Consider the following 15710-nt stretch of genomic DNA (forward strand, 5'->3'; position numbering starts at 1 on the left):
CGGCTAATTTTTTGTATTTTTAGTAGAGACGGGGTTTCACCGTTTTAGCCGGGATGGTCTCGATCTCCTGACCTCGTGATCCGCCCGCCTCGGCCTCCCAAAGTGCTGGGATTACAGGCGTGAGCCACCGCGCCCGGCCACAAAGAACTCTTAAAATTCAACAATTTTAAAGTGGAAAAAAGATCTGAACAGCCATCTTAACCAAGGAAGATATACAGATGATAAATTAAGCATGTGAAAAGATACTTAATGTAATTAAGTATCATTAGGGTACTGCAAAGTAAAACAACAGTAAGATACCACTGCACAACTGTTAGAATGGCTAAAATCCAAAACACTGACAACATTAGAAGGAACACTGAAGGAAGTGGAGTAACAGGAACTCTCACTCATTGCTGGTGTGAATGCAAAATGGTACAGCGACATTGGAAGACACTTACGCAGTTTTGTTTTCTTTTTCTTTTTTTTTTTTCCGAGACAGAGTCTAGCTGTGTCACCCAGGCTGGAGTGCAGTGGCGCGATCTCGGCTCACTGCATCCTCCGCCTCCCGGGTTTAAGCAGTTTTCTGCCTCAGCCTCCCAAGTAGCTGGGATTACAGGTGCGTGCCACCACACCCGGCTAATTTTTGTATTTTTAGTAGAGATGGGGTTTCACCATCTTGGCCAGGCTGGTCTTGAACTCCTGACCTCGTGATCCACCCGCCTTGGCCTCCCAAAGTTCTGGGATTATAGGCATGAGCCACCATGCCGAGCCTGGCAGTTTTCTTAAAAAGCTAAATATGGTCTTACCATACATTCTAGCAGTCATGCTCCTAGTGATTTACCTAAATGAGTTGAAAACTTACATTTACACAAAAACCTGTGCATGAATGTTTTACAGCAGCTTTATTCATAATTGCCAAAAAGTTGGAAGCAGTCAAGATGTCCTTAAATAAGTGAATGGATAAACAAATGGTGGTACATCCATGCAATGGAATATTATTCAGTCATACAAAGTAATAAGCCTTTAAGCCTGGAAAAGACATGGGGGAACTTTAAATGCATAAAAGCAGCCAGTCTGTGAAGGCTACATACTGTATAATTTTAACTATATAACATTTTGGACAAAGAAAACTATAGAGACAGTAAAAAGATCAGCAATTCTCAGGGGTTGAGGATGGGAAATGGAGGAAGAATGAATAGGTGAAGCACAGGATACTTAGGGCAGTAAAACTCTTCTGTATGATACTGCAAGGATGGATCCATGACAAAACCCCTACCACCGTGCAATGCAAAGAGTCAACTCTAAAGCATGGTGTTTAGTTAGTAATTTATCAGTACTGGGTGATCAGTTGTAACACATGTGGCACACTAAGGCAAGAGGTAATCACAGGTGGAGGAGAACGGGTGTATAGTGTGTACTTTCTACTGAATATTTCTATATGTCTAAAATTGTTCTAGCAATAATTCTATTCATTTTTTAAAAAGGAAAAAGTGATTTTCTAGGATCTCACTGCTAATGACTCAGCTTTTATTTTTTTATTTTCTCCTTGAACTGAGCAGGAATCTGTCAGGTGCTTCACTTTCTGTCTCCCGGTAACTTGCTGTGATTATGAAAATGTTTGTGCTAAACAACCCATGAACAAAGCAAATAAAGATATTCCTTCATCTACCCAGACTGAAAGGAATTATGCCACCATATCAGTGTTAATGGAAGAGAGGTTACAGCTGGTTTCCACTTTCATCTTTGTTTTCCTGTATTTTCCAAATGTGCTCTGTAAAATAAAAAGCTCTTAGCACTAAAACAGTATATATGTATTCTACTGCAGCTTAATTGTATTCAGTTAACATAATTGAAGAGATTAAATAAGAAATGTAGAAATAAGTAAGACGTAGATCTTAAGGATCTCTCTGGTTAACTGTAAGTGAAAGACTATCTCACCACAATGCTTAATGTAAATGGTCTGATTGGTTAGTGACAACCTCATCAATTATTGCAGCATGCAAAGGGATTGATTTTTAAATTTTTATTTATTATTCATTATTTAGTATGTACTTGCTTGTTTGCTTTCTTATTTAGTTGCTTATTTATTTGCTTATTACTTTCCTACCATTTTAAAAGAGGAAGAAGATACTATCTAAGTGATTTTGCCAAGTTCTTACATTTTGTTGGTTTATATTGCTTTAAAATACATGCTTGAAATCACATGTTTGCTCTTGAAATGTGTGCCTTTTGTAGTGTGTGTGTTGGGGGAAATAAGTTATTTTTTAAAAAGAGAATTATTTAAATATGGCTTTAGTGATTCCTCAGCACGATAACTGGTGATGAAATGTAGCTTATTGTTTTCAGCTAGTTTAAATTGGTCTTGAGACAAATGGAAATTTGTTTCTTAATTACAGGCTCTAGATGACTTTATAGAACATCTCTGGGCTATTATCAAGTACTTGCTTAAAAAGGACAATTCCACTTGAATTATATATTTTATACCCCAAAGGAAAATAAGTTTAAATTTAATTTTAACCAGATGATGCCATCTGCATGGAGTCACTCTGTTGTCGTGTCCACACGTCCAGGATATGTTTAATGAATGGTGTTTGTTTACTTTATTTGGTCTTAGCCAAATGAGTAAAGACCTGGAGACTGGGCAATTTGAGAAGACATTTAGGAATCCCTGGCTTTTCTCTGTTGATGCCACCATATAAGCTAAGGATGACAGTGGGTAGGGAATGTGTGTGGAATTCCTGTGTGATTCACTGTAACTGTGGTGTGCTAAATGCATGGTTAAGCTAGTGTCAGCATCGTCTTCCTGTAAGTTAAAGATCCCTTCTGTGAGCAGGACTCCTGCGTACTCATGTATATTTTGAAATATGCTTTACAGGATATTTTAGGACTTAATAAAAGATGACTGATGTGTAAGGGGACTTAAAAGGAAGAAAAACCCCTTCTTCTGTAGGGTAGCATATTTGGGATTATAATTTTCATTTTCTTTAGGTTGGTTTCATTTAACTTTTTTTTTTTTTTTTTTGAGTCAGGGTCGTGCTCTGTCGCCCAGGCTGGAGTGCAATGGCACGATCTCGGCTCACTGCAACTTCCGCCTCCCGGGTTCAAGGAATTCTCCTGCCTCGGCCTCCCGAGTAGCTGGGATTACAGGCGCCCGCCACCACGCCCGTCTAATTTTTGTATTTTTAGTAGGGACAAGGTTTCACTATGTTGGCTAGGCTGGTCTCGAGCTCCTGACCTCAGGTGATCCACCTGCCTCAACCTCGCAAAGTGCTGGAATTACAGGTGTGAGCCACCACACCTGGCCAGTTGGTTTCATTTTCAAGTGAATCCAGCAAACACTCTTTTCTTTGACTTGTAGTTCCAGTATTGCTGTAAAATTACTGTAATTTGAGGATAGTTGTCAATCTCAAATATATAAAATGACCAATTTCAGTGACCATTTATCCTTTTACGAAAACCTATTCTATGAAAATCCAATTTTGTGCAAAAAGTGGGAAATAAGTGGGGGGCGTAAGTGTTTGCTTTATGAGACTTTATTTGATTCATGTAAATAGAAAATGGTTTCATTACATGTAAAATGTGATTTAAATTGGTCAAAATGTCATTTTCGGAAAGTATACCTAAGATGTATGTACTCATTACGTAATGAGTACTAAAATTGGGTCTCATTACACAGAACAAGGATTCTATCTGTGTGCCACAAACAACTTCAAAGAATTTTCTTTATATGTAATGACACAGAAAGTTGTTCCTTAGCGTCCATTTCAACTCCAGTTCCTCAGGAACATTGAATACAAATTATAATGAGTTTATTTTCCAACTAAAGTGTAGTAGTTAGGCTAGTTTATTAGCTAGTTTAGTTCTGACCTCTATGGTTGAGAACAGATACAAGAGAATTATAGAAAGCAGATAGTGGAAATGATAAAGTGTACCTGGCTGGCTTTCTGACGATTTGTGTGAAGTGCTTGGCTTTGTAATTTTATATTTCTTTCTAGGCTGATACATTGAGTTTATTTAGTTAGAAGTGTATTTCCACAGACTGATTATCTGTTTTTTTAAATGCTTCTTCACAGTTGTATACCACTTAAGGTATGTAGCTTTGTAGCCAATCTAAATTGGAATTGGGTTTTTGTTATTGTCGTTTGGTACATTGGTCACTTTATAAATGTTTAACTTTTTGTTTTGAGTTAATTATAGATTTGCATGCAGTTTTAAGAAATAATAGAGAGAGGCCGGGTGTGGTGGCTTATGCCTGTGATTCCAGTTACTTGGGAGGCTGAGGCAGGAGGATTGCTTGAAGCCCAGAGTTCAAAGATGTAGTGAGCTGTGATGGTGCCACAGCACTCCAGCCTGGGTGACAGTGAGACCCCAGCTCTACAAAGAAAAAAAATAATAATACAAAGAAATCTCATGTACAGGCCTACCAAATTTTGTGTTTTGCTTTATTGCACTTTACAGATACTATTTTTTACAAACTGAAGGTTGGTGGCAACCCTGTGTCGAGGAAGTCTTGCAGTGCCGTTTTTCTAACAGCATATGCTCACTTCGTGTCTCTGTGTTACATTTCGGTAACAGTATTTTAGATGTTTTCATTATTATCATATCTGTTATAGCGATCAGTGATCTTTGATGTTACTCTTGTAATTGCTTACAACCTCACTGATAGAAGAGGGTGAACTTAATAAATGTTGTGTATGTGTGGGGGTTTTTTTGTTTTGTTTTGAGACAGGGTCTTTCTCAGTTGCCCCCAGGCTGGAGTGCAGTGGCATGATCCCAGCCCACTGCAACCTCCACCTTGTGGGCTCAAGCAATCCTTCTACCTCAGCCTCCTGAGTAGATGGGACTACAGGTGCACACCACTGTACTCGGATATCTTAAAATTGTTTGTATAGACAAGGTCTCATTATATTGGCCAAGCTAGTCTCAAACACCTGGGGACTCAAGTAATCCTCCCACCTCGGCCTCCCAAAGTGCTAGGATTACAGGCATGAGCCACCGTGCCCGGCCAGTTGTGTGTGTTCTGACTGTGTCATCCACCATCCATTCCCAACTCACTCCTCCTCAGGCCCCTCTCTATTACCTGACACAGAACAGTATTGAAATTAGGCTAATTAATGACTTTGCAGTGGCTTGTAAATATTCAAGTGAAAGGAAGAGTTGCACAACTCTTTCAATCAGAAGGCAGAAACCACTACCTTTAGTGAAGAAAGCATACCGAAAGCCAATCTAAGCTGAAAACTAGGCCTCTTGTGCCCGTTAGCCAAGTTGTGAAAGCAAAGGAAAAGTTCTTGAAGGAAATTAAAAGTGCCACTCCAGTGAATACACAAATGATAAGAAAGCAAAACAACCCTATTGCTGATATGGAGAAAATTTTAATGGTCTGGTTAGAAGATCAAACCACCCACAACATTCCCTTAGCCTAAGCCTAATCCAGAGCAAGGCTCTCTTCAGCTTTATGAAGGTTGAGAGAGGTGAGGAAGCTGCTGAAGAAAGGTTTGAAATTAACAGAGGTTGGTTCATGGGGTTTAAGGAAAGAAGCCATCTCTATAATATAGAAGTGCAAGGTTGAAGCAGGAAGTGCTGGTGTAGAAGCTGCAGCAAGTTACCCAGAAGATCTAGCTAAGATCATTGATAAAGGTGGCTCCACTAAGCAACAGATGTTTAGTGTAGAATAAACAGCCTTTTGTTAGAAGAAGATGCCATTTAGGACTTTCCTCCTAGAGACGAGAAGTCAGTGCCTGGCTTCAAAGCTTCAAAGGACAGCTGACTGTCTTTTTAGGTGCTGATACAGCTGGTGACTTTAAATTGAAGCCATTGTGTATTTACCATTCCAGAAATTCTAGAGCCCTTAACAGTTATGCTCAATCTACCCTGCCTGTGCTCTCTAAATTGAATAACAAAGCCTGGAAGACAGCACATCTGTTTACCACATGGTTTGCTGAATATTTTAAGCCCACTCTGGAGACCTACTGCTCAGAAAAAAAAGAATTATTTCAAAATATTACTACTCTTTGACAGTGCACCTCTGATGGAGATGTACAAGGAGAGGAGTGCTGTTTTCATGCCAGCCGACACAGCATTCATTCTGAAGCCTGTGGTTCAAGGAGTGATTTTGACTTTTAAGTCTTATTATTTAAGAAATACATTTTGCAAGGCTAAAGCTGCCATAGATAGTTATTCTTCTGATGGATCTGTGCAAAGTAAATTGAAAGCCTTCTGGAAAGGAGTCCCCATTCTAGATGCCATTAAGAACATTCATGAGGAGGTCAAAATATCAACATTAACAGGAATTTGGAAGAAATTGATTTCAACCGTCATGAATAACTTTGAGGGGTTCAAGCCTTCAGTGGAGAAAATAACTGCGGATGTGGCAGAACTAGCAAGAGAACTAGAATTAGAAGTGGAGCCTGAGCTGGGTGTGGTGGCTCATGCCTGTAATCCTGTAATCCCAGCGCTTTGGAAAGCCAAGAGGAGCGGATCACCCGAGGTGAGGAGTTTGAGACCAGCCTGGCCAACATAGTGAAACCCCAACTCTACTAAAAATACAAAAATTAGCTGGGTGTGGTGGTACACACTTGTAATCCCCGCTACTCGGGAGGTTGAGGCAGAAGAATCACTTGAACCCAGGAGGCGAAGGCTGCAGTGAGCCAAGATTGTGCCATTGCACTCCAGCCAGGGCGACACAGCAAGACTCTGTCTCAAAAAAAAAAAAAAAAAAAAAGTTAGAAAGCGGAGCCTGAAGATGTGACTGAATTGTGCGGCAATCTTATCTCATGATAAAACGTAAACAGGTGAGGAGTTGATTTTAACAGATAAGCAAAAGAAGTGGTTTCTTGAGATGGATTCTACTGGTGAAGACGCTGTAAACATTGTTGAAATGACAACAAAGGATTCAGAAGAGTGTAGAAACTTAGTTGATAAAGCAGCAGAGGGGTTTGAGAGGACTGACTCCAATTTTGAAACAAGCTCTACTGGGGGCAAAATGCTACCAAACAGCATCTTATGGTACAGAGAAATCTCTCAAGGCCCCAGTTTTTCCTAAGTGAAGAGAATTTTAGAATCAATCTCATAGATTTGTTGGGAGGATGAAGTTATGTTTTAACTTGTTTAGTAAGACATTTAGGATAGGACGTGGCTCATAGTAAGCTCTCTGTGAGTATTAGCTATCATTATTCTTAACAAAATTAGTAAATTAATAGATTGTTTGCTCTTTTTTACTTTATTTAGTAGTTTATTTCATTTATTTTATCTTCATTAAGGCTGTTGGCACAAAACTAGTTTGTTGATTTGGGCAATATAAATCTTTATGTTCATATTATACTTCCTAGATTTTGGAATATCTTATGTTTATGCTCTTTAATGTGCTAAGTGGCCCTGATGAAGACAGTCAGCCAAACCATTATATTGAAGAAGGAGGTATTAACCCAAGTTAACCCCCTTTTTTGTGACCTTGTGGCCACTTCACCAGATGCCTTTTGGCATGTGTCTTGTCTATCTCCATTGTAAGATCTTGGCAGGTTAGTGCCATATCTTTGTAGCCACTTTCTGACCCAGTGCCCTTCAGGGGTGCTTCTATACATGTTTGTTAGAAGAGTAAGTGCATAGTTAATAATCATAGATTTCATCAGAATAGTGAGTTTATCTGGAAATTTATATCAATTTTCTGCTTAGATTTACAATGTGTAGTTATTGAGAAACTAATAGCAAAAAATACTTGACACTTACTGTGTGCCAGGTACTGATCCAATCACTATACAAACCCCTTTATTTGAACAAGTAGGTTTTATTATCCTTGCTAGTCTACAGATGAGAAAACTGGGGCATGGAGAAACTTGCCCTGTGTCAAATAACTAATAAGTGGTAGATTCAGCATTTAAATAGCCACAGTCTGTCTTTCACTACCGTCTTTGTAATTTTTGAAATTTTTAATAACAGGATTTATATATGGTATTTATGACTTTTTTTTTTTCCTGAGACGGAGTCTAGCTTGTCGCCCAGGCTGGAGTGCAGTGGCGCAATCTCGGCTCACTGCAACCTCCACCTCCTGGGTTCAAGCGATTCTCCTGCCTCAGCCTCCCGAGTAGCTGGGATTACAGGTGCCCGCCACCATGCCCAGCTAATTTTTGTATTTTTTAGAAGAGATGGGGTTTCACTGTGTTGGGCAGGCTGGTCAAGGACTCCTGACCTCATGATCCACCTGCCTTGGCCTCCCAAAGTGCTGGGATTACAGGTGTGAGCCACCGTGCCCAGCTAAATTTTGTATTTTTTAGTAGAGATGGGGTTTCACTGTATTGGCCAGGCTGGTCAAGAACTTCTGACCTCATGATCCACCTGCCTTGGCCTCCCAAAGTGCTGGGATTACAGGCATGAGCCACAGCACCCGGCCGGTATTTATGACTTTTTAAAGCTCATTTGTTCCCTAATATATGCAGTAACTTAGATTACCTAGTCCACTAATTTATAATGAAACCTTGACTTCGTAGCATGAACTTAGAAATTCTTTTGGAAATAAGTAGTTGGAAAAATACATGCAGATATTTATTTGAGTGCCTACTGTGTACTTTATGCCAAGTGGATACAGATGTCTAGAAGTTTGTTTTCCTACTTCTGCTGTAAAGATGGCCCTTTTCCAAACTTTACCTATTCATTTCTCCCTAAAATGGCTTTGTTTGTTTCTTTCTTTCCAGTGTGTGCTGCATAAAGGCAGACAATTTACAGATAAAAGGTGTATTTGGTTTCTTAAGATTCTTGAATTCTAAAGTTTAGTAAGCTGAAATTTTAGTTAAAAAAAAGCCTGTTTCCCAAAAAAGAAATAAACATTAAGATGTAAATATTTACTACTTATAGACATCAGAATTATATTTGCCTATCCTGTCTCAACAAGTTGGTTCTGATTCTTAAGTTCTGAATAGATGATAGTGACAACTTTGAGCTATTTAAAGAGAAAGTTCATTTCTTTATGCTGTCATTAAAACTGTTCTGACTCTAATTGTCAGGTATCTCTGTGGAAAAAATAGATTTAAGCTAACGAAAGTGAGATAGAAATTATTTGTTTGGAGTTTTTTTGAGACAGAGTCTTGCTCTATGGCCCAGGCTGGAGTGCAGTGGCATGATGATTTCGGCTCACTGCAACCTATGCCTCCCGGGTTCAAGCAGTTCTCGTGCCTCAGCCTGCCGAGTAGCTGGGACTACAGGCACACATTAGCATACCCAGCTAATGTTTGTATTTTTGGTAGAGACAGAGTTTCGCCATGTTGGCCAGGCTGGTCTCGAACTCCTGGCCTCAAGTGATCTGCCTGCATTGGCCTCCCAAAGTGCTGGGATTACCGGCGTGAGCCACCGTGCCTGGTCGTAAGATGGAAATTATATATATTGTATGCGAATGAAATTAAATTTATTTCGAAGTCCAGGCCAGCCACAGTGGCTCACATCTGTAATCTCAGAGCTTTGGGAGGCCGAGGTGGGCAGATTACCTGAGGTCAGGAGTTCAAGACCACCCTGGCCAACATGGCGAAACCTCATCTCTAGTGAAAATACAAAAATTAGCCAGGCATGGTGGCGGGTGCATGTATTCGCAGCTATTTGGGAAGCTGAGGCAGGAGAATAGCTTGAACCTAGGAGGCGGCAGCTGCAGTGAGTTGAGATTACACTACTGCACTCCAGCCCAGGTGACAGAGCGAGACTCTGTCTTAAAAAAGAAAAAAATTAGAGTCCAGAATTTTCTCCAGATGCTTTGAAAAAGCTAGACATTCTGTATACATAAATGACTAAAAAGTTTATAGATGTAGAAAAATTAATACAGGTTTTACATGTGCATTTAGTAAATTCAGAATTTGAATTTTTCTTTTTATTTGCAGCTCAGATCGTCTGATAGAAGAGACAATAAGGTAGGAATAAGTTTTTGTTTTGCTTTGTTGGTTTTTGTTTGTTTGCACGTAAATTTAATGAACAGTGTTACAGCTGTTTTAGAATTAAAGAAAAAACATTTTAATGAACAGATCAAAGTTCGTTTATCCTCCTTAAAGATGAAATTTTTACTATGTCCTTTCCTTACAAGAGACGTTTGACACCCAAAGTAACATTTCCATAGTTACTTTAATTAAGCTGTTTTACTTAGGTTAATTTTTCCAATTAATTTATACTTAATATTTTCAATCTCAGTCTTTTTATTCCCACTTTTTAAAGCAAAGTGATTTAAAGCATAATTTGATAAATAACTTTATGCCATTCATATAGACTTTGCTGTTATAGCACCTGCAGAAAATCTACTGCAGTAATAGTTCATAGTATCTGTAATAACATTGAACTAGTTTCTTGCTTAAGTTAAGGGACATTTATTTCTTGTTTTGAACTGCTTAGCTTTCTAGGTTTGATGAATTTTAAAGTATCTATTTTATGACAGTAAAAAAGTACATTAACTAGGTCTCTGTGCTCTAGAATTCACCAATGTGTAAAGCATTGGTTTTCAGGAAAGGTAAATCAAAGTACATGACAATAACAAACATTTGTATTTTTTTTTTTTTTTAGATGGAGTTTCACTCTTGTTGCCCAGGCTAGAGTGCAGTGGTGCCATCTTGGCTCACTGCAACCTCCGCCTCCTGGGTTCAAGTGATTCTCCTGCCTCAGGCTCCTGAGTAGCTGGGATTTCAGGTGTGTCCCACCATGCCTGGCTAATTTTTTGTAATTTTAGTAGTGACAGGGTTTCATCATGTTGGCCAGTCTGGTCCCGAACTCCTGACCTCAGGTGATCTGTCCACCTTGGCCTCCTAAAGTGCAGAGATTACAGGTGTGAGCCACTGCGCCCAGCCACATTTGTATTCTTACCATGGATATTGGACCTGTGCTAAAAGTACTTTGCATGCATTATTTTATTTGATTTTCTCAATAACCCATTAGATAGACACAAATCATTAGGAACTATCTCCAAAACAAAAAAGAAATTAAGTAATTTGCCTGTGGTCACATGACTAGTAAATAGTATTAAGGATTCAGATCCTGATTCAGTCTTAGTCCAACTCTAGAAACAGAGCTCTATTTAAACCACTGCTATATTTACCACATTGCAGAAAGAATACAAGGTTTTGGGTCTGATTTGGTTTGGAACCTGCCTGTGCTGTTTATTAGATCTTAGATTTCTGTTCTTTAGATAATTAACTTCTTGGAACTTTCATTTTCTTATCTGTTTAAAAATATAGTATTGATGATAATACTTATCTGTAAGACTGTTAAGGATAATGTGAGGAAAATGCCTGATCTAATACTAGGTAATCTGTAAATGGTAGCTATATTATTAATACCAATCCTTTCTTTTTTAGCTTTTTATTTGGATATCATTTCAGATTTCAGAAAAATTTCAGTAGTGAAAAGAAGTCCTATATACCCTTTACCCAACTTCTACAAAGTTTAACATACATTGATGCTCTTTACTCCTAAATATTTCAGTGTTCGTTTCCTAAATATCTGTTTCTTTTGTATGGCTTCATGGATTCTTTATTCAGTGGATTGGAATATTTTCCATCATTAATCATCTTAATACATTTTAGTCTTTTATAACAGTAAGCCATGATTGTGTCTTGAATTTTTGTTTAAATTGTATGTGCTGAGCCTTCCACCTGAAGAAAGTTTTCACAGAATTTCCTTATGTTGACTGAAGTTTCTTCCTTGTAACTTTTTCCTTTTCATCAGCACATGAGATCTGATCACATTTTGCCAGGAATTCTTTACTTAAAGTTTCCCAATCATCCTTTTTCTTTTTTCCTTTATTTCCCTTTCTTTCTGCCTGCTCTTCTAGGGCCAGGCTGCCTTAATTAAGCTTTCACTTCAGAACTGGCCTATTTAAGGGCTGGTAATATGAGTATAAAAACTTGGGGTACCTCATAGGGCAAAAAAGAAATTAAAAGGAACAATTGAGAACCATTGAATTGTTACTATTATTTTGCTAGTTAGAAAACATGTTATTAGGTCTTTTATTTCAGTATTTTCCCTTGTTTCAAAATATGATAGGCATTACAAGAAAAGTTTCACTGAGTATAAAGCTAGTTATGATTTCTTATGAAGAATATAAAGTTTGTGTCAAATAGTATTTTTGCATATTCCATATGGAAAAATTTACCTTTTCCTTTTAGAGATACATTTTAAAACTATGTGAGCAACTGAATATAGACTTTGACATCAACTTATTGAAAAGAACTAGCATTTTTAACATTTATAAATTCATTTCTAACCTTTAAATGTATGACTTGTATTATCTGTTGTTGAAAAAAAGGTGACTGAGTTCAGTTCACAGAGCAGGTAACAGGTAAGAAAGTTGAAGTTCCTGTAAGCATATCAATGATTTATCATTTTAAAAGCATTATGTATTATTTAGAGCTTATATTTTGCTTCTAAATATTTGACCCTTGAAATAACAGCCTAGATTTCATTCTGCTTGACTCTGAGTCATGAAATGAGATGAGAAAGTATGTCTAGATATACTTTGTGGTACTGGAAATCATGCATCTTCAACAAGTTAACATAATGTATGATGATGATATCTATTCCCCAAGGAATACAAAGTGCTTTGCAGAAATTATTTTTTAACCTCTGTCCACTTGTGAGTCAAAGTCTACAGGAAATGGTGATAGTTCCAGTTTGAAAAACAGAAGCAGGCCCAGCATGGTGGCTCACACCTATGATCCTAACACTTTGGGAGGCTGAGGCGGGAGGACTGCTTGAGGCCAGAAACTCGAGTCAGCCAGAGCAACATAGTGAGACCCCATCTTTACAAAATTGTTTCTAAAAAGCTAGGCATGGTGGTGCACATCTGTAAGCCAACCACTTGGAAGGCTGAGGCAGGAGGAGCACTTGCACCCATGAGGTCAAGGCTGCCATGATGGTGCTACTGCAGCCGTGCCTGCATGGCACAGTGAGGCCGTGTCTCAAAAAAATAATAATATATCATTCAAAGATTGATATATGGGCCAGCATAGGTTTGAAAGCTGTTACTTTATACAAGACCATAGTATCTACTTGCAATACCTTGTAAACTTTTCTACAAAACAGCCACATTTTCAATGTATCACATTTTGTCATAATCTCTCAAACTGAAAAATTATGAATAAGAACTAAATGATGCAAAGGAAGTTGTTTGTTAAGCTCTTCTTGTGTTCCTTTCATTTGGGGATCAAAAATTCAGTGTATTGTGTGGTTGACATCGCTCCCTCCTTCTGCTCTAATCTTGACTGGTGATTCTCTACACCTCCAACATTGTTCTGGTCCTAGATGTCCTTCCTCCATTACCCTAAAATAATTTCCTCTATTGGATTACCTACTTGGGATTAGTGCCTTCCACTTTCTTACTTTATTCCCTTATTATGCTGAACCATGTCCTTAGTAACTTCCTGAGAAAGAACAGGAGGTAAATTGTTTTGGACTGCCCACATCCAAAAAGTCTTTATTCTGCTCGTATTCTTGATTCATTATTTAACCTAACCAAGATAGAATTCTGAGTTGGAAATAATTTTGAAATTTTTAAAGGCATTGCTTCTAAAGTCCAGGCTGGCATGCTTCTAAAGTCCACAGTGGCATGCGTCTTTTCCAGTCCAATGCTCTGGGCATTGAGTGAACTCTTACAATCTGGAAACTCATCTTCAGTTCTTGGAAATTATCTTAACGTTCTTTATCATTTTCTTCCCTCTTCTTTCTCTGTTGTTTCATGCAAAAAAATATTAAAAAGGTTATGTGTTGGGCCTTCTGAATTGATCCTTTCTTACCTTCTCTCTGTTTCTGTTGATCTTTTTGTTTAACATTCTGGGAGATTTACTGAATTTCTCCTTCCAATTCTTCTATTACATTTTTATATCAGCTCTTCATTTAATTTACATGAGCTCTTTCGTGAGAGACAGATACACACATTTATGTGTATGTTTTGTGGATGTAGTAATCTTTTATCTCTCTGAAAACATTAAATGTAATTTTATTTTAGAGTTTCTTGAGCTTCCTTTATTGCCCTGTTTGCTCAGCCTCACTTTTCTGTTTGCTGGGTGGTTTATTTGAACTCTGCCTTTCATGTTACCTCCTCACACATCTAGTGATTATTGGCTGTTCCTTCATATTTAAGGGTGTGACTCCAAAAGAGGATGAGCTTCCAGTCACTCATTGCTGTTACCCAGGCTGGAGTGCAGTGACATGATCATGGCTTACTGCAGCCTTGACCTTCTGGGCTCAAGCAATCTTCCCACCTCAGCATTCTGAATAGCTGGTACTACTGGCACACACCACCATGCCCAGCTAATTTTTTTTTTTTTTTTTTGTATTTTTCTGTAGACATGGTGTTTCTCCATGTTGTGAAAAGAATGTGTGTTGGGAAACTCATCCTGTGAGCATAGGGTGGTGACACTTGTTGAGTGTTAGGCCTCACCATGCGTGATCAGGCGGACCTGGCTGTTTCACTGGGGACTTCAAATTGCCAGACCTCTATGTCTCTTCTCCTGAGCTAGGTCTTCTACTGGACTAGGGGCAGCCACCTAGCTGCATGCGTTAGGAAGGGCAATTTTGGGTTATGGCAACTCCTTGTACAAATTTCTACAAATCTCCATTTTTAACCCTACTCCACAGTTCTGCCCTCAGAGAGAGTGATCCCTTCCATTCTTGAGCATTTCTGAGATCTGTGGAAAACTTTTTAAAATCATTGCTTGACTCATAATTTTATTGAGGTGCATCACAGTGGTGGATTTGGAGCTGCTAATGTATTTTTTTGTTTGTTTTAGTTTTACCCAGTTACATTTCTTTATTCTGAAATGTCATTTCAAAAGACCAGACCATAATATCTCCACATGAACAGATATTTTTCTAGAATAGGCCTAAAAGTATTGGGAAGATGGGATTGTCAGCATTAAAACACATAGGAAATCAGGACCCTGGAAGAACTGTAATATTCTCTAGGACTTTTCATTTTCTAAATTTGCAGATATTGCCTGTGATTTCAGTTGAAAGTGATCCAAATCCTAGTGTGTCCATGTTAATTGTGTGTGTAGCTTCAAATGTTATTTAACGTTTCTTAATCAAGTGGAATTTTTCTAATGTTTTCATTTTTCTTTTATTAGACACTTGTATATTGTATATTATACAAGTACAGTGTTCTTATTGTAACAACTTAAATAATACTAAAACGGATAAAGAAAAAGTCAGCCGGGCGCGGTGGCTCACGCCTGTAATCCCAGCACTTTGGGAGGCTGAGGCGGGCGGATCACGAGGGCAGGAGTTCGAGACCATCCTGGCTAACACGGTGAAACCCCGTCTCTACTAAAAATACAAAAAATTAGCTGGGCGTGGTGGCAGGCGCCTGTAGTCCCAGCTACTCAGGAGGCTGAGGCAGGAGAATGGCATGAACCTGGGAGGCGGAGGTTGCAGTGAGCCAAGATCGCGCCACTGCACTCCAGCCTGGGTGACAGAGCAAGACTCCGTCTCAAACAAAAAAAAAGAAAAAGAAAAAGTCAGTCTCCTGGTAGTACCCCTCCATTCTTAACCCCTGAAGCAACTTGTGTTAACTGACAGTTGTGTATCCTTCTGATACCTTTTTCACTGTCATACAGACATCCCCAAAGATGTTTGTTTCTGTAATTATTAGAGGATTCATATTCTATACATTCTGTGGCTTGCTTTAATCACTCAATATGTTATAAACATCCCTTCAAGTTAATAGAAATACTAACTTTGTTTTGTTTTGTTTGAGACTGCGTCTTGTGTTG

At 38.6% G+C, this 15710-nt stretch overlaps 1 protein-coding gene across 12 annotated transcripts in view; it reads left to right on the forward strand.

Annotated features, from left to right (window-relative positions):
* The window catches only part of GOSR1 (golgi SNAP receptor complex member 1), a 50185-nt gene that overhangs the window by 23633 nt on the left and 10842 nt on the right, over positions 1–15710 (forward strand). For 8 of the 12 annotated variants that reach the window (XM_005258070.6, XM_005258071.6, XM_047437111.1 and 5 more), the window contains exon 7: positions 9840–9869. The exons of the other annotated variants lie outside the window; for them this stretch is intronic. In XM_005258070.6, the coding sequence (XP_005258127.1) occupies positions 9840–9869 (30 nt within the window). The remainder of the gene's footprint in view (positions 1–9839; positions 9870–15710) is intronic. 12 annotated transcript variants of the gene reach the window in all.

Source organism: Homo sapiens, chromosome 17 (assembly GCF_000001405.40).
Source record: "Homo sapiens chromosome 17, GRCh38.p14 Primary Assembly".
Taxonomy (NCBI): domain Eukaryota; kingdom Metazoa; phylum Chordata; class Mammalia; order Primates; family Hominidae; genus Homo; species Homo sapiens.